The sequence below is a fragment of the Homo sapiens genome, chromosome 5 (assembly GCF_000001405.40).
Source record: "Homo sapiens chromosome 5, GRCh38.p14 Primary Assembly".
Lineage (NCBI taxonomy): Eukaryota > Metazoa > Chordata > Mammalia > Primates > Hominidae > Homo > Homo sapiens.
In genome coordinates, this window is record NC_000005.10 from 157,327,447 (window position 1) to 157,350,206 (window position 22,760).

The 22,760-nt window shown below is 44.9% G+C and overlaps 2 protein-coding genes across 9 annotated transcripts in view; one reads left to right on the forward strand and one right to left on the reverse strand.

Moving 5' to 3' along the window:
* The window catches only part of CYFIP2 (cytoplasmic FMR1 interacting protein 2), a 129,472-nt gene that overhangs the window by 61,324 nt on the left and 45,388 nt on the right, over positions 1 to 22,760 (forward strand). For all 8 annotated transcript variants that reach the window (XM_011534516.4, NM_001291722.2, NM_001037333.3 and 5 more), the window contains 5 exons: positions 527 to 603; positions 3,296 to 3,404; positions 5,881 to 6,000; positions 11,611 to 11,810; positions 13,624 to 13,711. In XM_011534516.4, the coding sequence (XP_011532818.1) occupies positions 527 to 603; positions 3,296 to 3,404; positions 5,881 to 6,000; positions 11,611 to 11,810; positions 13,624 to 13,711 (594 nt within the window). The remainder of the gene's footprint in view (positions 1 to 526; positions 604 to 3,295; positions 3,405 to 5,880; positions 6,001 to 11,610; positions 11,811 to 13,623; positions 13,712 to 22,760) is intronic.
* Positions 14,152 to 18,231, reverse strand: FNDC9 (fibronectin type III domain containing 9). The gene is made up of 2 exons (NM_001001343.4): positions 18,095 to 18,231; positions 14,152 to 16,097 (listed from the first exon to the last, which is right to left on the reverse strand). Exon 2 carries the CDS (start codon positions 16,088 to 16,090, stop codon positions 15,416 to 15,418), a length of 675 nt encoding a protein of 224 aa, NP_001001343.2. The 5' UTR covers positions 16,091 to 16,097; positions 18,095 to 18,231; the 3' UTR covers positions 14,152 to 15,415.

Below are 22,760 nucleotides of genomic sequence, written 5' to 3' on the forward strand. Positions count from 1 at the left end.
CCCAGCTACTTGGGAGGCTGAAGGATGAGAATCACTTGAACCCGGGAGGCGGAGGTTGCAGTGAGCCGAGATCACACCACTGCACTCCAGCCTAGGTGACAGAGCAAGACTCTGTCTCAAAAAAAAAAAAAATTGCAAATCAAAGAAAAATACAATGAAAATAACATCCATCTGAAGAGATGGATGGGGAGGCTGCCGAGTTAGCGGACGAATTTGAGCACTGATGGGTTCTGACAGTCTGTCTGTTGCATCCCTCCAGGCAGGCGGCCTCGAAACAGCTGAGGAGAGGGGCCGTGGGGAGATTGGGTCCTTTTTGAACTTTGACTTGTCTGTTCACTGACTGAGGACCCTGAGAGCAAGGGACCAAATCTCCCAAACTTAGCCACAGAATATTTTTCCCCTTCAAAGCGTCTTTCCCCAGAATGCACTCTGGGCAATCCTGCCTGACTGCTGTCTTTCAGTTGGCTCAGTTTCTGTCATAAAGCTGAACGGGCACCAGTGATGTTTCCTGCTTCCTCTCCACCAGGTGAACCTGTGTTTTGATCAGTTTGTCTACAAGCTGGCAGACCAGATCTTTGCTTACTACAAAGCCATGGCTGGCAGGTAGGAAAGCCCCAGAGCTGTGAGTAGCAATCTCTTAAGACTGCCACCTAGAAGACATGATTTTCTGTTGTGAAACCTCCCTTCTTCTTTAGCACCTTAGGAAAACAGAGCCATTCCACGGACCCGGACTGGGTGCTGAGATAGAGTGGAAAGGAAACTAGGCAGATAAAGGGCTAACCTCACACAGCCTGCAGTCCAGCAGGAAAGACAGACATCGACTAAAAGCCGATGAATGCACAGTGACAAGGAGGTTACATGCTGTCTGTGAGGGAAAAGCTCATGGGAATGTACGATGGTTAAACCTTTGGGGGCGGGGAACTAGAAAGGCCATCTTGCGGAAGTGGCATCTGAGTTCTTATCTGAAGTTGGTAGGAGTGAAGGAAGTAAAACGAGGTGAAGGATGGGGCAGGACGTTGCAGGCAAAAGGAACTGCTTGTGCAAGGACCCTGCGGTGGGAGTATGATGATAACAGCATGCCAACTTCACAGGGCTGTGGGAGGATTCCTGTGGATTAATACATGTCAGTGTCTCTTCACCACCACTAGAGGGGGCAAGCTGCATGCTAAGGCTGGGGAGTGGGCAGGGCCAGAGCACACCAGCTTTGTAGCTGTTTCTCCCGGGAGTGGAATGCCTCCGAATGGTTTCAAAAGTACAACCGTGACCCGATTCGATTTTTATTTACTTTTGAAAGTTTACTCTCTTAAAAATATAAATGTATGGAGAATGAATTGGAGAGGAATGGGTGTGTGCAAACCAGACAGGAGGCCAGTGAAGAAGTCTGGATCAGAGATGTATCAAGCTTTAGAGGCTCCTTGGTATTGCCAGTATATGTTGATTCAGACCCTCGTGAGTTCTTGGGTTTCAAGGACCTGTAACAGCATTGATCGAGGAAAACCTCAAATTTTATATATAGGTATTTCCTTTCTTATTGGAAATCCAAACATACCAACCAGTAATTTCAAGGATAGTTCCTTACTTTAATAATTTTTCTATGAAAAGGATTTGCTTCATTTTGCTTTTAACAGCCAAAGTAGCCCTGATATATTTCAAAGAGGAGTTGATGTGCAGCACACACAAGTGTCTGTTAACACAGGATGTGCATTAAATAACGCGACTCTTAAATGCTGTAAAGTATTGAAAGCATGCACGTAGGATTTCAAGGAAAGCAGAGAACACAGCCTTTCACAAAGTAGTCAATAGGCATCTGTGGATTGAATGGGATGTGGTTCTAACAGTGAGTTGAGTTTCTGGCTTCTGTAAGACAATTCTGATTCCAAATACACTGTTCCATCATCTATATAAACAGACTCAGGCGTGTCGAACCCTGGGTCTTCCTTCTTCAGACATATGGGCTTTTATCTACACCCTTCCCTGTAAGATCAGTGATTTTTTAAAGTGTGGGAAGTTGAGGAGGTTGAGAGATTCAGGGAAAGCCCAGGAAGAAAACCATGAGCTAGGTCAGTCCTGTTCATTCAAAATGCCATGTGGCCACAAATATGAGCCAGAGATGTTATTTTAAATTTTTTAGCAGACATATTTTAAAAAGGAAAAAGAAGCAGATGAAATTAATTTTAATAATATATTTTATTTAACCCCACATATCCAAAACATTATAATTTTGACATACACTCAATATAGACATTATTAGAGATTTTTCATTCTTTTCTTCTAAGTCCTCAAAATCCTGTTTACAGCCCATCTCAATTTGGACCAGCCACATCTCAAGTGTTCAGTAGGCACATGTGGCTGGTGGCTACTACTTTGGACAGTGTAAATATAGATGGTGTCTCTTTCTTGCGTAAAACCTTTTGGTGCCTTTTAGTTATGTCTAGAATACACCTAGCCACTTTACTATGGCCTGTGTGGCCCTACCTGGTTTGGCCCTGGTCTCATGTTATAAATTCATTTTGCACCATGCTCTCCAACCTGCACTATACTTTATCCACACTGGCCATCTTTCCTTTTCTTAAATGTAACCAAGCTTGTTGTGTAAATGATAGTGTTCCCTTAGATCTTTCCAATTTTATCATTCAGGTCTCTGTTTAGCAAAACTTCTTTAGAGAGACTTTGGACTTCCTAACTCCAAATGATCCCATTTTCTTATTTTCAAAGCACTTCTCCTCTGCAATCCATGCCTCAGTGTGAAAGATAGTAACACTCTCAGCTCATAGGGTTGTGGTGAGATTTAAAATGTGTGTGTGTGTGTGTGTGTGTGTGTGTGTGTGTGTGTGTGTGTTTGTGTTTAAAGTGCCTGGGAAATAATAAACACTATGCAACTGTTACCTATTATCTGAAATTATTCCATTCCTCTGTTTGTGTTTATATTATCAGTCTTTCCTCACTCGAATATAAACTCCATGAGGACAGGAACTTTGTATTCCCAGTACCCAGAATGTTTCCTGGGATACACCAAGCAGGCACTCAATTGCTTTTGCAGTAAATGAATAAAAGAGGAAAGTGGCTCAACTTCTGTGTTGCCCATCTTTAACTTAGAAACTCTGTTTCACATATTGAGCTTCTGTGACTGAAAAGAAATTTGACGTAACTTGTCTAGAGCAGAAAACAATTTTACTTAAGTTATATAAGATAGTGCTCTGTGGGTAGATCCTATGATCTGAAATAGATGTATCTGGGCAGTTGAGAGTCATTCACAATCTGTTTACTGGCCTTGTTTCACTTTTATTCCTTGCAGTGTCCTGTTGGATAAACGTTTTCGAGCTGAGTGTAAGAATTATGGCGTCATCATTCCGTATCCACCGTCCAATCGCTATGAAACACTGCTGAAGCAGAGACACGTCCAGGTATGGGGAGCAGAAGCCACCTTGGAGATGGAAGGGGCAGGAGAGAGCAGCTGCGAAGTTAGCATAGAGATCAGAAATCAGGCCTGGGTATTGTCTGCCCGGCATGTTGCCAGTGTGGATTTCCGAGCCTGGGTGTAGCACAGCCTCAGGATCTCATAAACAATAAAGAGGCATTGGGCTTCCTTTGGCTCAAGTTCTGGGCTTCTCCACCCATCTATAGCCAACCTCTGACAAGTTATGGCAACCAAAGCCTTTGTCTTCTCATCATAACCTGCAGCCCACTTTTTTCAGCTGGGACTGCCACTTAGAGATGGGTAAATCTGTCCCTGAACAGGGCCCAAGTGCCGGTCTAAGTGAGGAAGACTGTGGCGCCTTTGAAATGAAAGCATGTCAGGGCAAATCCACGGTAGAAATTGGGTTTTTTGTGTGCAGAGTTGGTTTCTATTAACATTTGACCCTATATGTAGAGGAGATGTTGCTGGGAACTGAGAAACATCCCCATTTAATAATATTAATGTGAGGCAGACAGACAGCATAAGAGATGCCCCAGCAGATGTCGAGCCCTCCTCCTACAGCCCTGCTGTTGGCCAAGCGGGTGGCAAAATGGCCTTTATGCTGTGACGTCTGTGTGCTTATTATGTGGTCCTGGTCTTTGTGAAAGGGCCAGGCTGAGGCTAAGATCATGCCAGAGGTGAAAAGGAAAGAATTCATCTCAGAAACCCTGGACATTCCCATTACTATGAGAAATCCAAGGGAGATGGAGAATCATTAAGAGGGGGGAAAAATAGAATTTGTACTTCTGTCAACAACAGGGGCTCAATGAGAGCTTTTCTTTCACCCTTTCAGAAGATTACTGCTATCGGTTACAATGCAGCCAGAATTAGCCACAGGATATTAAATACTGAGGGCTTTATGTGTGCATAAGATGGCTATAAGGGGCCCTGGTCAGTTGGTAGAAAATTGATGCCAAAAGAGAAGTTGAAAAATAAAATAGTTAAGAATAATCATTTGACACCTAGCAAAGTGCTGTGGACACAGCAGGTACTCAACAAATGTTCATTGCTATCTACATAGCAGCTGCAGTAATGCCCGCGTGTACCCCAGTGGAAAGTACCTTAAGTTATATTTTCCATTCTGTAATCAGACCTTCATCCTCTTGCTTTTAAATTTTCCCTCATGAAGGCACAATGTGGGCCCTTGCTGAGGCAGCTGCTGTGCCCTGGTGACTGAATTGAGTGCAAGAAAGATGGCAGAAAGAACCCCAGGGCTAAATTTGGGATGTCAGCAGAAACACTTATGGGAAGCCAGAGCCTACCCTGAACCTCTTCCCACAGCCTGAGTGAATCGTATTTTTCCTAAACTTCCTGTGTTTCAAGCCTACAGGGAAGTTGAAAGAATAATACGATAAACACTTATTTATCCCCTAGCCAGATTTGCAATTATTAATGTTTTACCATATTTAGTTCACATTCTTTCTCTCATGTATGTATTTTCTCTCTAGCACTTATACAGTGCGTATGTTTGTGTGTGGGGGATGAATATACATACTTTTGTTCTTAACTATTTGAGAGTTTAAGTTGCCAAATCATGACATTTCACCCCTGAATGCTTCAGCCTATATCTCCTAAGAACAAGGACGTTGTCTTATAAAAACAGAATAGAATGATGATACTCAGGAAATTTGACAATACTACTTTCTAAATACAGTTCCCATTCGTCCCAGTTATGTCCTTTGTAATTTTAATCCAGTTTCTTATCGGTGCATGCACGTAGTTGTCAGGTGTCAGCGCGAATCTTTATTTATTTTTTAAGAGACAGGGTCTCTTTCTGTCGCTCAGGCTGGAGTGCAGTGGCACAGTCATAGCTCACTGCAGCCACAAACTCTTGGGCTCAAGCTATCTTCCCACCTCCAGCCTCCCAAGTAGCTAGGACTACAGGCGTACACCACCACACCTGGCTAATTTTTTTTATTTTTTGTAGAGACAGATTCTTACTGTGTTGCCCATGCTGGTGTCAAACTCCTGGGTTCAAGCTATCCTCCTGTTGCAGGACTTTTTCTCAGTTCAGCTAAAGATGGGGTTCTTGTCTGTCCCATGACCATGAAAAATTAGGCTTGCAGACTGTTTAAAGGGTAGGTAAAGCAGGGTTTAATTGGGTGAAAAGGGAAAAAAAGGAGGGAAACAGGGACTCTCACAAGGCCAGAGTCCCTCAGCTAGAGAGCTTCCCGCCAGGCCGTTGGAATCCCAGGTTCCACACAAGAAGAGGAGGGGCCAGGCTCCTCCCTGCTGCAAACATCATAAACTTCCCGAGGCTCCACCTCAATGGACAGGCTGGTTGGAGTTTCTCCAGGAAACCCCTCCCACCTGGCAGTCTCACTCCCACCTTGGTCCCCCAAAGTGCTGGGATTACAGGCATGAGCCACTGCACCTGGCCAGTGTGAATTTTAAGTAACTTTTCTCTCTCTCTCTTCATCCAGCTGTTGGGTAGATCAATTGACTTGAACAGACTCATTACCCAGCGCATCTCTGCCGCCATGTATAAATCCTTGGACCAAGCTATCAGCCGCTTTGAGAGTGAGGACCTGACCTCCATTGTGGTAAGAGTCTGGGAGCGTGTGGGATTTCTGCTCTGTGATTTCTCAGACTAGAAGCCTAGATGGGGACTGTAGTTAGTCTAGTGCTGGGCCAGTTAAAGAGGGGCAGTGAGTCTCTTTCCCATCTGAATGGAGCTGGGAAAGAAAAACTTACACAGAATAAGAGTAATCTTACGTTCCTGATTGCCTTGGGAACGATAGCATGGAGGGGGTCTCCTTGAGATTTCTAGAGATGGCCAACCCTCAGACACAGCTGCATGTCCTTAGGATCCTGCAGGCTGAGCAAGTAGGTGAGGGGTCCTAAGAAGCTAGGGAAAATTGCACAAGAGGGTTGGCTTCACAGGTGTGCAGTAGTATAAGGCCCAGAAGGGCTTTGCAGCTGGTTTACCATTCTGCTTCACTATCTTGAAATTCTTAAACAAGGGGGCCCCACATTTTCATTAAACATTGCACCCTGCAGATTATGTAACTGGTTCTGATGCACAAGCCTGGAATAGGCCTACTCCTTTCTCCCAGAAAACAGCAATTAAAACGACTCTCTGCTAATTCTCTCTCTTCAAGAATTAGAGTAAACTTGACTGGTTGTTCTTTCAGTGAATCAAAGGAAGATTTCAGTGCCTTCAAAAGCGAATGAACAGAAGGAGTGGGAAATGGAAAATCACCGTTAGAACATAATAAAAATTGTAGGCAAGATCTGTCAATGGTTGCTAAAATAAGTGGGCAGAACTTTGAGAAAAATACTGCATGATTTCTCTTATATGAGGTTCCTACAGTAGGCAAATTCATGGAGACATAGGGTAGGTTGCCAGGGAAGAGGAAGATGGTGTTTGATGGATACAGAGTTTCAGTTGGAGAAGGTGAGTTTCACTTCTAGAAAAGGATGGTGCTGATAGTTGCACAACCATGTGAATGTACGTAATGCCGCAGTACACCTACAAATGGTTAAAATGTTCAATTTTATGTACATCTTACCACAATAACAAAATTTTTTTAACCAAAAAATCTTTGAGAAGAAATAGGATACTTGCATAGTCTCAAAGTATCTCCCCCAAGATGTTTATTAATTACAAAGGGAAGAATGACTCTACAATGGAGAAAATTAGCAGACACCATCTTAACCAAGTATCAAAGTTAATATTACCAGTAAGACATATTATTGTTATCAACATATATTCTTGCCAAAATGCACAATCTCAATCTAATTATGAGAAAATATCAGATGAACCCAAATCGAGTTCCATTTAAAAAAAAAAAAGTGAATGATACTTTTCAAAAGTGCGCAGGTCTTGAGAGACAGGAAAGACTGAAAACTGTTACAAATTAGGAAAGAATAAGGGAACCTGACAACTAAATGCAACATGGAATCCTAGATTGAATCTTAGAACAGAAAAAGGACTTTAGTGGGAAAACTGGTGAAACCTGAATAAAGCCTGTCATTCAGCTAATAGTGTTGTACCAAAGTTAATTTCCTTCATTTGATGATTGCACTATGGTTCCGCCAGATGTTAACAGTGGGGAAGCTGGGTAAAGGATATGCAGGGTATGCTGTTTTTACAACTTTTCTGTAAGTCTAACATTATTTTTAAATAAAGTTGGTTTTTATTTTAAGTGGACAAAGTATAAAAATAAAGTGACAGTGAACTGGGACTCTAACATCATACCTAGGGTCCCAGTCCTCTCCCTGCTACTTACTAGCTGTGTGATCTTGTGCAAGTTACTCAGCTTCTCCAAGCCTGTTTCCTTATCTATAGAAATGGAGGGAATATCAGAATCCACCTCTTAGGGTTACTATAAGGATAAAATGAGATACTACCTGTTTTTTTGTTTGTTTGTTTTTGTTTTGTTTTCTTTTGAGACGGAGTCTTGCTCTGTTGCCTAGGCTGTAGTGCAGTGGCGTGATCTCAGCTCACTGCAACCTCTGCCTCCAGGGTTCAAGCAATTCTCCTGCCTCAGCCTCCTGAGTAGCTGGGACTACAGGCATGTGCCACCAGGCCCACCTAATTTTTGTATTTTTAGTAGAGATGGGGTTTCACTATGTTGGCCAGGCTGGTCTCAAGCTCCTGACCTCGTGATCTGCCTGCCTTGGCCTCCCAAGAGTCTTTTGTATACATAGTTAGCACTTAATAAATAATAGCTTATGGAAAAAAGATGAGAGAAAAATAAATTTGGGGCTGCAATGCAGTGATTTTGGGTGATTTCTTAGGGCTTGACCTACCCACCCACCTAAGTCCTGGGTCACTTACTCCAGGAGACTGTAGTACAGCACACATTTTTCTGAGAAATCATTTGGTCACCTCTATTTTGAGAAACAGAGTTATTCTTTATGCCAAATGGTTAGCAGTGATTAGCTCCAAGTGGCGGGATTTTTTTTTCTTTTTTGTTTATCTGTATCTTCTAGTTTTCCAATAATGAGCATATCTTATGGGAAAAAAAAGATTTGGGATATGTGTGTCTCCATGGCCTCTTCCCACCTGTCCAAAAGCACTAAATGTTCTTTTAGCTGGGAACAAAATCAAAACAAGCAGTGAAAGCCCTTGCTTATCAGGCGAGGGCAGTGGCTCCCCAGAGAACACCAGTTCCTGGGAAGCCCATGAAGAGACCTCAGGGAAGCGCTCTCCGATGGGTCTGGATGGCCCCTGCTCGCCCTGGCTGAGAAGCTTCTACCTCCTCCAAGAAACAAAATGAGGAATGAGCTCCCCTCAGCCTTTCCCTCCACCTGAAAAACTCCATTCTGAGATGGGGAGGCAACTTGATTCTGAGTTGGGAGAGGTTGCAAAGATTTGGGGAGTTAGTCACCCTCATTTTACACAGCTGAGCAAACAGAGTCTCAGCAAGACCCGATGCTGAAGTTGAGAACGGGCAGCCCGCAGGCTGTGTTTTGTTTAGGCAGCATAGTACATTTGTAATTTTGAGCCAATGTTTAACATTTGGAAGAAATCAAATAAAACTGCAGAAGCTCTGGCAATGCCAGACCAGCATTCCCAGATGGTAACGATTGCCCATAAATGACTAGAAGTTCCTGTGAGATGGGCTACACTTTCTTCAGCTTGCCACAGCCTCAGTGGCAGGCTTCATTTATGTGTGTGACCTACGAGGCCTCACTGTACTGAGTTTGAGACCTTTGCTCTCTCACTTGCCTGAGGCCACAGAGCTGGTTGACAGTTGAATGTGGTTAACAATCAGGTCTTCTTTCGTTGATGAGCTCTTTCTCCCACTACTCTGAAGTTGCCCACTGGGGTGTTTTACTGCCCCAGTTCTGTTTCTCTGTGTTGCCCTTTAGTAAACCAGCCTTGCTGTGGAAAAGTGTCATCCTCTTAGGAGACCCCTAAACTGCCCACATGGCTTTTTAAGCCTTTTCCATGCTTTGGTGCGTTGAGCCCTGCATCCAGCTGGCACATGCCCTCTTCTGGTTTCAAGGCCAGAAGAACAAATCCGAAATGTGTTGCAGAAATATCGTCTGGGTTACATACTGTGCAGGGAGAAGTGGACCTGTGGTTGCAGCAGCCTCTGCCTCTCCTTCAGTTTCCCTTGTGAACACGGATGTATGTTGTGAGACTGCTGAAGTCACAGAACGATAACACAGAAATTGTTCCCCAGCTTCTCAGTTGTCTTCCCAGTAACAAGGCACCACAGTGTGCCAGGGGACTCAGTGATCTTAGAAATAAACTCAGCGCCACTTACTCCATGTATTTTTTATTTATTTAGTACCCATCCTAAGTGAATCAGAATAAAGACATATTCCAGCTAGCCAGGCCCCCAAGAGACAGAATCAGAAAGCTGATTCTGTATTTCCGCCCTTCATTTACTTCATGGTACACAATGACTGGAAACTTATTCCTCCGATGCTGTTCCAGAATTGAAATTCTGACCTTCTTTTGAAAAATTGCAGGATTTGCCATCACTAATCCCCCACTCCAACATGGCAGCGGTCAGACGGGGTATCAGAAGTAGCAGCTCCACCTTTACCTGGGCAGGGACATCCAATTTGCCATAGATGGACCCACTCCCCAAACTTTCTCTTCACCCCAGTTGATCTCACTTACCTGACCTGTCTGGTCTCTTTAGCCATGTGTGTTTGCAAGCCTTCAACCATTTCTGCACACTTCAACTTAGAGCCACAGAATCTGAGTTTCAGAGAGGCAGAGCTCCAAAAATTGGAAGCATAGCCTGGGATCTCCACCTGACCATGCTCTGGTCTCCATCTAGGGGTCTTTGTGGCTAATGAGAATGAAATTGAATCCTTGGCATGAGGCTGCCTCCTGTGGACATATTCCAGCCATTACAGCCGACCCTATGGTCATCCCACCCGGCCATGCTCTGATGAATTGGCCTTGCCGATGTTCTTTTAGCCTTTATGCTGTAAAGCCATCTTTGCCTTTCAAAGGACTTTCACAGCTCTTGCATCCTTGTTCCAGGGAACTGTGTCACAGGGACCAAGAACACATGATTTGGAATAAGGAGACTTGGATTCACATCCTAAGGCCTCTTATGGTGACCTTGGGCAAGTTACTTAACCTTCAGGGCCTCAATTTCCCCTCTCTGAATGAGGGACCATTGTACCGATCCTAAAAGATGGCTTAACCAAAACAGCACAGGAGTGGCCTAAGGTGCTTTCTGTCTCTACATAAGACTGTACTTTGATTCCTTTTGATAGCAGTGGCGGGGAAGTTGCAGGACAATGAGAGTCCAAAGCGTGTTGAAAGAGTTACACTCTTCTTTCATTTCCCAACAAATGCCATGTCCTGCTGTGTGCAGATACTCTGTCCCACTTTGCCTGAAGATGGGTTTCCTTCGTTCAGGGCCCACAGTGCACATAGATCCCGGTCATCATGAGCTGACTGCAGACTGCAGACTGCTTGCCCATGGCTTGTAGCCACGCCTTTGCCAACCCCATGTGATACCTCAAGGGGCCTACACTCCAAAGGATGAGGCATTCTGCTCCCACCTCTTTTTAAAACTTCTATAGCAGTTAGAGCATATAGTGGTTAAGAATGTGCACTTGGGAGCCCAGTTTCCTGGATTTGAAGTCAAGTTACTTAACTTCTCAAAGCCTCGGTTTCCATATGTATAAAATAAGAATGGCAGCAATACTGACCTCATAGGGTTTGATAAGCATTAAACAAGTTGACACATATAAAACTGGCACATACTAATTTGGTTGAACCAGGCAAAATTGCCAATATTTGGCCCTAAAAAACAAGTAACGTCATAGGGTTCAACCTAATAGTAAACCCTTAATTAGTGGTAGCTCTTAGTATTGCTTTTTTCTCACCAACATAGAAACTGGAAAGCAAGTAAGCTTGTTCTCTACCCAAAAGGGATTTGCACATGGTCTATGGTCTCCTTCCAGGGGGTAGGCGTGCAACCTCCCCTTCCCCTACCTTGCCCTTAACCTTCTGGGCCTCCATTTCTGTCAGCGTAGTCTGACAATCCTTCCACTTCTCAGAAGGGAACCTTGTCACCTGCTACTGTAAGGGTCCTAGTTCCCATGTAGATGGCCAGGAGGTTGTCTGAGCAGCTGTCACTTGCGTGAACAGAAGCAGTAAGATAAAACACACACATGTAATGCTTACAAGCAAGTCCTCAGCAGTTGTGGGCTCTCTCTCTGTACAGGAGCTGGAGTGGCTGCTGGAGATTAACCGGCTCACGCATCGGCTGCTCTGTAAGCATATGACGCTGGACAGCTTCGATGCCATGTTCCGAGAGGCCAATCACAATGTGTCCGCCCCCTATGGCCGTATCACCCTGCATGTCTTCTGGGAACTGAACTTTGACTTTCTCCCCAACTACTGCTACAATGGGTCCACTAACCGGTAAGGGAGTCCCTGTGCAGAGGGGGCCGGGTGGGGGTTGGGGGAGTGGCCAGCTGCCTCCTCCAAACTAGGCCCAGTACATGTGTGAGTGGTTCCTGCAACAGGTGTCTCTCAGAGCCCCTCCTGGGCACAGGCTTTGTGCTGTCTCACTTGCCTAAGGTCATAGAGCTGGTTGACAGTTGAATGTGGTTAACAATTAGGTCTTCTTTCATTGAAGAGCTCTTTCTACTGCTACTCTGAAGTTGCCCATTGGGGTGTTTTCCTGCTCCAGTAAAACATGGGGCATGCCATGGTGAGCAGATACCTTCCTGCCTCTTGAGTCTTCAGACTAGAGGAGGATGTGGGTGATCAATCACATGACAAATGTACCATTACAAACAGTGAATAAGGAGATGAAGGAAAGCCCACAGGGCCATGACAGTGGTAACAGTACCACCTATTCCAGTCCAAAAAGTCATGCAAACCTCAACGGAGGCTTCCTCTTTGAGGAAGTAATGCTGGAGTTAAGATGCAAAGGATGACTAGGAATAAATAAGGCAAAAAGGCAGGAGAAGAATATTCCAGACAAGTTTCTAAGGGTTTCTCCAAGAAGTTGATGAGGGTAAAACTAGTCGGGTGGGAAATGGTGCTGTGAAAGATAACACAGGAACAGATTGTGCAGTACTCTACAGGCCAGGGCAGGATCGTGCATTTTTATTAACCCTGAAAGAGTTTGAGGAAAGGAGATGACATGATCAGATTGTATGTTTGTAAGGATATCCACGTATCTGAAAGCATGCCTGCAAAACAGCATACATTTGCAGAGCACACATACGCATGACAAAGTGGAACTTGCCTCCTGCAAGGTGCACACGGCCCGGGGCCAGGCACTGAGGTAGAGACAAGACCTAATTTCTTTATCCCCACAAAGTTTCATAACCCAGTGGAAGAGTAAGGCATATATATTCACATACAAAATAAGTATGTAAGGATGCAAAAAAAATGTATTCATCTGCAGATCTTCTAGGTATCTCCAAGCCTTGGCTCAAGGCCAGTATTGAATGAGTGTGTGTTGAATGAATGAAAGGGTATGGGAGATATCCACAAATGCACCTGGATCCACACACTAAGTGAGATAGATTTCCAGTTCTATAAAGATTTAGGAGCTTTAACACTCTTGAGCAGGGAGCAGCAAACTGTGGCTCACAGGCCACATCTAGTTGCTGACTGTTTTTGTAAAGCCCATGAGCTGAGAATAGTATTCACACTTTTGGGTGGTTGAGGGGAAAAAATCCAAAGAAGAATAATATTTGGTGACAAGTGAAAATGATTTGTATTTGATAAAGTTTTATTGGAACTCGATCATGCTCATTTGTTTATTATTGTCTGTGGGTGCTTCCATGCTGCAACAGCAGAGTTGAGTACTTGCAACAGAGACCGTCTGGCTTCCAAAGCTAAAAATATTTGCTGCCTGGCTCTTTTGAGAAAGAGTTTGCTGAACTCTGCTCTTGAGAAACCAAACTGGAGGTAGAGGAGTGGAGCCCTAGAGAAAGTCCACTCTTAGTTTCTTGCCTAGTGTCATTCGGAGCAGCCACAAGCCCCTGGTTGAGCCCAGGAATCTAGACTGAATTTTTCCCATCTATAGAAAGGAGACGGCAGTTGAATGGGAAGATGTCAGAAGAGTTTAGTACCTTTATAGTCAACCACCTAACAAACAGTGCACTTGTACCAGTGCAAACCTTCACCTGGCCAGGAAGCACTCCTGTTATCTGTGTCCCATGGAGAATAATATTAGGACCATATTAACTCTTTCCCATCCCTATGCTTCTACTAGTTTTGTGCGGACTGCCATTCCTTTCACCCAAGAACCACAACGAGACAAACCTGCCAACGTCCAGCCTTATTACCTCTATGGATCCAAGGTAAGTAGTCCTGCCCTACCCTGCCTAGAAGAGGGTTGGTGAGAAAAAGCAAATAGAAAAGTGTCTCTTAATTAGAAGAGTAAGAAGGTGCAGAGATAAAGGCAGCAATGAGGTCAGGCACAGTGGCTCATACCTTTAATCCCAGCACTTCAGGAGACCGAGACCAGTGGATACTTCAGGCCAGGAATTTGAGAACAGCCTGGACAACATAGCGAGACCCTGTCTCTACCAAAAAAATAAAAAATAAAAAATTAGCTAGACATGGCGGCATGCACCAGTAGCTACTTGGAAGGCTAAGGCAGGGGGATCCTTTGAGCCCAGGAGTGTTATGCTGCAGTGAGCATGATTGTACCACTTCGCTCCAGCCTGGCTGACAGGGCGAGACTCTTATCTCTAAAGAGAAAGGAAAAAGGCAGCAATAAGATCCAGGCAGAAACAGCTGTGAGTATATGAATCTTTATTTGTTCACAAGTAGCAGGAATGGGGGCAAAAGTCTGGGTGCCGAGCAGGGAATGCATGAGGTAGGCAAGGGAATAGGGATGTGGGGCTTCTCGTCTTGGCTTCTCAGCTCCTGCTGTTTCTTAGTTGATTCACTGCAGTGTCGTCCTGTGATTCTGGGATTTTGTGCTCTATAGATATAAGAGGGTACTGGGAAGGTCTTGGATGATGCTTGGAGAGTACAGGCGTCTTCTCCAGAACAGCCTGCCTAGTCTGGTCAAGACAATTTTCTCAAATCAAGGGAAGCTGACTGACAGCATTTGAGGTGGTTCACAGACATGGCATTTAACTAACACTGACTCGCAAAGTAAAAACAGCACTTCCCTTTTCGATTCTCTTTCAAACCTTATGCTATATCAAGGAGAAAGACAAATATTGGTGCTAATATGTCTTTATTACCTCTCCAACACTGGATCTCCCTTTTTATCAAAGACAAGCAAGCAGGCATTAAGCTCAGAATCACTGGCAGGCAATAGAAGCTAAGTCAGATTATTTAATATTATCTTGTTTTCATGATGTTTATTCTTATGTCTCTTCCCTTCTGTTTGCAGCAGGAGGGTGCTGGTTTTTCACTTATGGAGTAATATAAGGCTGTCTTTGAAAATAAGTTTACGCTTAAAAAATGAGTCAATTTAAAGGAAAGTATTATTAATAATAGTGAAGATAATCCATGGTTTTAAAAAATAGAGAGCGGTGGTATGTGATTGCCTAAAAGTTGGAAAACACTCCAGAGCAAGGGTTCTCACAAATTATTTCCAAATAATCCCAAATTATTTCCAAATAATCCCCTCAAGGGCAGAGGAAACTGGACATCTACCTTTGCCCAAAAGTGTACCTCTGAGAGCCTACTTGTAACTCAAGTGTTTCCTTCAAGTGCTGTGTTTTATTTGTCATGCAAATTTTTGCTTTCTACTTTATAACATATCCATGTTTGTTTTAATGTTAAAACAATGCTTTCAATTCTTAACTGTGTCCTCCGAGTGGACGCTGCTGCTGAGATGCCTCGTTTGTGCCTTGGCATACCCTGGGGGATACATTTTCCAGCTTGAGAAGCTTTGTCATGGGGCATTCATCCAACCCAGGTGACCTACAATAGCAGTGACGTTTGATGGGAGAGAAATGGGTAGTCTATAGACACATTTGTACAAACGACCTACTGTGTGGAAAGCTTTAGGCTACATGATGCGGGCGCTCTCCTCCCCACTCTCATTCCCCACAATGAGGCAGTATAGCGGGTGGGTCACCACCCCCCCTCTGTAAGGCACCCGCATCAGGGGCATCCTGGTTGGCTTCGGGATCCAGTTCAGCTCCATCTCTGGAGTTCTTGCGTGGCATTTCCACCAGGGGGAGCCCCTGCAGGTCTTCCTCCCTCTGACCAAGATCCGGGGCCTCCTCTGGCCATCTCACCAACCCATTGGCCTCCTCCATGTGGCCAGCCCTGTAAGACCATCGCGGCTCATGGCAACGGACACACCAGAACTGGAGGCAGATGAAGGCCAAGACGGCTGTGAAGCAGGCCAGCAGAATGGCCATCAGCACCCAAAGGGAGATCTGGGGGTCTACCAGGGAGCTTCCAGGAGCCAGCGGACTCTTATCCAGGGTGTGGAACATGGTGCAGTAGTGCCTGTAAGGGAAGGCAGCCTTCTTACAGCTGATGCACAGGAAGTAGAGAGTGGAAGGGGCAAGATGTTCCAGCACCACGGAGCTGATCGTTCGAGGCACCTTCTCCTCGTGGTGGAAGCTGTAGCGAAGATAGCCAGAGAAGATGCTGTTCCAGTTGGGCCTGTACATAATATGGTAATAGTCCTCCAGGCAGGGCTCCGAGGACGACCAGGAGATGATGGCTCCTGTATAAGAAATGTTCCCCACCTCGATGTTCATCCCGATTCTGGAACCAGAATCAAAGTGAAGAGTGACATCCCCTGATTTAAGTATGTATTTATCATAATCATAGCCACCATTTATTGCACATTTGAGACGGGCACTCATGTTGCCCTCATCTTACAGACAAAGAAATGGAGGCCGAGAGGTTCTGTTATTTAGGCATAGCGAAAAAGTGGCAGGACAAAAGTTAAAACTGGGGCTGTCCCATGCCAAAGTTCAGGCCTAAGAACAGATGCACCCATGCAATCCCAGCCACATCCCACCCTAGCTGAGATCCTTCAGATAACAAAGGGGATTTTCTTAAGGGGATTGTTCTCATCCCCTTAAGAAAAAAGAAGAAAAGGTAAGGAGAAATCAGTAGAACCTCAGAGGCTCCACCTTTATTCTCAGGTCTGTGACCTCCCCTCAGGCAATTGATTCACCTCAATTTTCCTTCTTGACCTCCTGTTTCTGCTCCAAGTACTGTGAGCTCAGTGATCTAGAACATTCTGCCCACTGCTTTTTTTAGCCTCCTGGTTCTGTTGCCCATGGTGAGTGGAAATTCGCTTCGTCACTCTTTGGCAGCTGATCTCACCCCAAAGCTTCTGCTCTTGTTTTGTTTGTTTGTTTTTTCAAAGCCAGCGGTACCAGGAAATTTATTTTATGGGTGAAGATAATCAGCCCCTAATATCAGCATAACTACCACTATTTAATTCTGCTGTTATTATGAATGTTAATCATGGTAATAACCACTCACAGTAAGTGGTTGCTATGTCACTTGTCATGCTAGATGATTCACAGGCAGTAATTAATTTCCTTTATTCTTCATCACATCCTCTGAGCTAGATTCCCATTTTACGGATGAGCAACCTGATGTCACACCGCTAATACGTAGAAAAAGGACTTAGTGCCGCCTAACCACTACATTTCCTAATGCAAGGCTGCCGGGTTTAGTTACAGACGTTATCGCAAAATGAGGTGCCAGGACTGAGACCCAGTTGCTGTTTTTCCAGACAAATCAAATGAGCCCTCTTTAGATTGCCAGGCCCCGCTTTGATAAGAGAGAGCCATCTTCAAGTATTTTAGTTTCTCTCATGCAGTTCCCTCTACTGATTGCCCCTGATCAGAAATACAGAGACAGTCATAGTCAGCCTACGCATATTCACATAACAGTCTCACCCTGCTTTGTCTTCCGCCTCTCCTCCCTCACATGAAACCCCGTAGGTTTCATTTTGGGTTGCAGTGACATAGTAAACAGCTGTCAACTGGATTTTCGCCTGCATTGGATATTAAGCCAAACCAATGGCTATTATGACCTGCCTTTCTCTCACCTCTGCTTTCCCCCATCCTCTTGTGTTTGTGCCCATTTTCCTCCAGGAGTGGAGCTGCAGAAAGGTGCACAGCATTGAGTAGTTTCTTAATCCTTGTTTTTCTTCTGTAAGGGTAACAGTGAACTAAGATACTCAGGAAGGTGAATAGTGTCTTTCTATGTGGCTGAATATTTCTTCCCAGTAAATAGGGAACGAAAGGGATGAGACGGATGTGCTCAGACCCTTCCAGGGAAGGTCATCATGAAGGAGACCGAATGTTTATGTTTCCTAGCTTGGTGTCCTCTACACACTCATCCTCCCCACACCACACATCACTATAAATACACTTTCGACCACGATGAAAAGAGCTTAATTCATTATAGGCAGCCACCTGTGTAAAACCTTTCCATCAGGAGTAATCAGGAATCCTGTTTCTTGTCACGCACAAATGTTCTCTTGGCTTCCTATCTGCCACTAGCTGTCTGTACAGATGGAATTACCTCAGCAGACATTTTTAAGAGCTTTCTGTCAAGACGCAAATAGCATCCTCACCTTTTAGGACCAGGTCCGTCTCCCTTATTGATTTTTCTTCCTCTGTTTCCGTTTCTAAATTCTCCCCTATTTTTAACTATTCATTTGCCCGGCCCTTCTCCAAGCAGAGTGTGAAAAGAAGCCATTTCCATTTCCAAGAAGAGCCATCTATATGTCTTACCTGATGCTTGCAGCGTGTCTGGTTAGAGCTCTGCCCTCCGAGGTGCAGTAGATTAAAGCTGAGAGAATGGGGCCTTCTCCCTCCTCTGCTCTGGGCTTTCCGTGTTGTTTCTCTCAACACTGAGTAATCCCACTGCCGCCCCTAATGCTCACATTATTCATTTCTTCAGATCAGCATCATTCACCATGGCAACCAGCAGGCATCTGTACGCACGATGCTTTCAGGGACCAGCCTGGAAAGGCTTTTGCCCAGTGAGAGGAGCTCTCATTCCTTTGGCTGAAAAAGGGCAGATGATCCCCTGAAAACTGGTCCCCAGTGCAGTACTAATTCTTCTAACACTCCTACATTTTCTCCCCAGTTGGCTGATTATTATTTTCTTGTCCCATCTAGATCCTCTTTGGCCAATGGTTTTAAATGCAAAGATGCTTTTCTCAGTTATTCCACAACCAAAGCAGTAATATTCATCTTCATCCCCTCCCACCCCTACACTTCCCCATCCCAACTGCCTACCCCACCTCTTTATCTTCATCTTTCTTTATTCTTGACTCATGTGCCATTACATAGTTATATGGTACTGGTCAAGACCCTTTTATTTTTATTGTCTGAGTCTCAGTTCCACCATCATCTGTAAAGCTGTGGGCTTGGGCTACATCAGGATGGCAGATCAGAAGGCAGAAGACCTGAGCCCTATCCCTGCACAGCCCTGAACCCCTGTCAAGCTTGCTAAACCATCATGGCACTCTCACTGGGTTGAATAATGCCCCCCCAAAATACATATCCATCCAGAACCTTAGGATGTGACCTGATTTAGAAATAGAGCCTTCGTAGATATAACTAGTTAAGGATCTCAAGATGAAATCTTCCTGGATTTAAGGGTGAGCCCTAAATCCAATGACTAATGTCTTTGTAAGAGAAAAGACAGAGAGACTCAAGGGGAAGAAGCCAAGGGAAAACAGAGGCAGAGAGTGGAAGGATGCTGCCATCAGCCAAGGAACACCGGGAGCCATCAGCAGCTGGGAAGGCAAGGAAACATTCTCCCCTAGAGCCTTGGAGAGGGCATGGTTCTGCGAGAGCCTTGATTTCAGGCTTCTGGTCTCCAGAACTGTGAGAGAATAAATTTCTGTCATGTTAAGCTGCCACATTTATGGTAATTTGTGATAGCAACCCTAGGAATCTAATGCAGCACTGCTTCCAGCTGGGTGCAGAAACAGCCCCAGAGTTCCTCTGAACACAAGCGTCCCAAGAAACTGCTTCCCAATCAATCAGTTGGAGTTGACGCCAGAAATGGAAACTGTTTGCTACTCCTGGATTGAATCATCCCCAGCGTTCCTTTCCTTTCAAGAATCCAGACTGCTTGCCTCCCCTTTTCTCATAAAGGGCCGTCTGGCTTTGAGGTTCCATCCCTTCCTGTTCCTTTCAACCTTGTAAGAACCCATTGCCACCATTCTATTGAGATCACAGGGTGTGTCTGGAATAGAGGGTGGAAAGTAGCTCAGATAGATGTAGACCTGAATAAATTTATACACATTATATGTTTTTAAAAGTCAGCTTTTCTCTTCTTGGTTCTTGGCCAAAGTATCCAAGTTAACCCATGAAGGTCTCTTTCTGATTCACATTAATGATAAAAGGTTAGGAAGAAAGCCAGGCACAGCTGCAGTGGTGTGCACCTGTAGTCCCAGCCACTTGGGAGGCTGAGGTGGGAGGATCACTTGAGCTTAAGAGTTCCAGACCAGCCTGGGTATTATAGAAAGACTTTTTCCCTTGGAAAAAAAAAAAAAAAAGAGCCGCCTTGGTGAGTTGTGACCCTACCCTTGGCCAAAGGTCTCCGGGAGGCTTGGAGTCTTGGGAACTCGGGAACAAGCCAGTGTTCCTTGATCAGAAAGTTGCTCTGCAGCTTGCCCATGGCATTCAGTCTTCCCAGGCGCCTGTCTTAAATCTGCAGCAATGCATGCAGCATGTCTCTTCCCATGCGAGCACAGCCAGGTCAAGTGCTAATGGTGAGTCCCCACGGAGCATAAAAGCATCCTCCCCACAGAAAGGCCACGCAGCTGTTTGCAGATGCCCTTTGAAAAGGTTATTTTGCGGGGAGTAAAAATACCAGAGTTAAGGGGTCTGAGGAGGAACAAGGTAGAACTCAAGCCTTTTTCCACAGAAAATTGGAATTTATTTTTAATATTCTTGGATGACATTTTTAACCAAGAGAAATTTTCCACTGTGGAATTAAGATACTCAGAGAATGTGAGGCCTCCAAGCCCTCTTGTTTCACAGTCCTGGGAGAAGACATGGCATTCCTCAGACCGCTTGACTGATGAGTGGCAGAGCTGCCAGTGAAATGGGGTGGGGCCCCAGACTCGGAGGCGGAGGCCAGGGTTCATCCCGCTCCTCTGAGCTGTCGCCGCTCACCAGCAGCACCCAGAGGAGCCAGTGCAGCCGTTTGTGAAGGAGATAAAGTATCTGGGACACCTGCCCCAGGACATTACACCCCAGCCAGGCTCACACTTTCTCCATCATCAGGGACAATTCCTCCAGAGTCTGTGCAAGTTGTAGCCTCTTCGCTCTCAGGCCAGGTGAGCCCCAGCTAGTTGACATCAGTAGTAAATTACTGCTAGAGGAAATCAGCTAGGAGCAAGGTTCTTCCACCCTTCCTGAAGGTGGCAGTGAAGGGATAATATGGGGCAAGCCCCAGTCCCAAAGCTGGATTGGCACATGGGGAAAGTGAGTGGCTCACAGAGCACGCCCTGGAATTCCCAGGCTGGAGTGCAGTGGCACAGTCATGGCTCACTGCAGCCTTGACCTCCCAAGGCTCAGGAGATCCTCCTGCCTCAGCCCCCTCAAGTAGCTAGGACTACAGGTGTGCACTACCACCCCTGGCTAATTATTATTATTTTTGAGCTGGAGTCTCACTCTGTTGCCCAGGCTGGAATGCAGTGGCAAAATTGCGGCTCACTGCAACCTCTGCCTCCCGGGTTCCAGTGATTCTCCTGCCTCAGCCTCCCGAGTACCTGGGACTACAGGTGTGCACCACCATGCCCAGCTAATTTTTGTATTTTTAGTAGAGACGGAGTTTCACCATGTTGGCCAGGCTGGTCTTGAACTTCTGACCTCAGGTGATCCACCCACCTCAGCCTCCCAAAGTACTGGGATTACAGGCGTGAGCCACTGCCCCCCGCCTCACCTGGCTAATTTTTGTATTTTTAGTAGATATGAGATCAGATAGTTGCTCTGCGGCTTTCCCATGGCATTCAGTCTTCCCAGGGGCCTGTCTTAAATCTGCAGCAATGCATACAGCATGCCTCTTCCCAAGAGCTAGTGGTGAGTCCCCACAGAGCATAAAAGCACCCTGCCATTGCAGTGAACCAAGATCGCACCACTGCACTCCAGCCTGGGCGACAGTGGAAGACTTCATCTCAAAAAAAAAAAAAAAGCATCCTCCCCACACCGTGTTGCCCAGACTGGTCTCGAACTCCTGGGCTCAAGCAATCCACCCACCTTGGCCTCCCAAAGTACTGGGACTACAGGCATTAGCCACCGCACCTGGCCAAATTCCCTCACTTTATGTATTTATTTATTTATTTACTTATTTCAGTTTTTTTTATTTCAATAAATTTTGGGGGAACAGGTGGTTTTTGGTTACGTAGATTAATTCTTTAGTGGTGATTTCTGAGATTTTGGTGCACCCATCATACGAGCAGTATACGCTATGCCCAATGTGTAGTCTTTTATCCCTCTCCCTCCTCCCACCCTTCTGAGTCTCCAAAATTCATTGTATCATTCTTAATGCCTTTCTGTCCTCATAGCTTAGCTCCCACTCAAGTGAGAACATAATCATGTTTGGTTTTCCATTCCCGAGTTACTTGACTTAGAATAATGGTCTCCAACTCCATCCAGGTTGCTGCAAATGCCGTTATTTCATTGCTTTTTATGGCTGAGTAGTATTCCATGATGTATACATGCCACATTTTCTTTATCCACTCATTGATTAGTGGGCATTGGGCTGGTTCCATATTTTTGCAATTGCGAATTGTGCTGCTATAAACATGCGTGTGCAATATCCTTTTCGAATGATTTCCTTTCCTCTGGGTAGATACCCAGTAGTGGGATTGCTGGATCAAATGGTAGTTCTCACTTTTAGTTCTTAAAGGAATTTCCACACTCTTTTCCATTATATTTGTACTGGTTTACATTCCCACCAGCAGCGTAAAAGTGTTCCCTTTTCACCACATCCACGCCAACATCTATTATTTTTTGATTTTCGATTATGGTCATTCTTGCAGGAGTAAGGTGATATCACATTGTGGTTTTGATTTGCATTTCCCTGATCATTAGCGATGCTGAGCTTTTTCTTTTATGTTTGTTGGCCATTTGTATATCTTCTTTTGAGAATTGTCTGTTCATGTCCTTAGCCCACTTTTTGATGGGATTGTTTGTTTGTTTGTTTGTTTTTCTTACTGATTTGTTTGAATTCCTTGTAGATTTTGGGTATTAGTCCTTTGTCAGATGTATAGTTTGCAAAGATTTTCTCCCACTCTGTGGGTTGTCTGTTTACTCTGCTGATTATTTCTTTTGCTATGCAGAAGTTTTTTAGTTTAAGTCCCATTTATTTATCTTTGTTTTTGTTGCATTTGCTTTTGGGCTCTTGGTCATGAAGTCTTTGCCTAAGCCAATG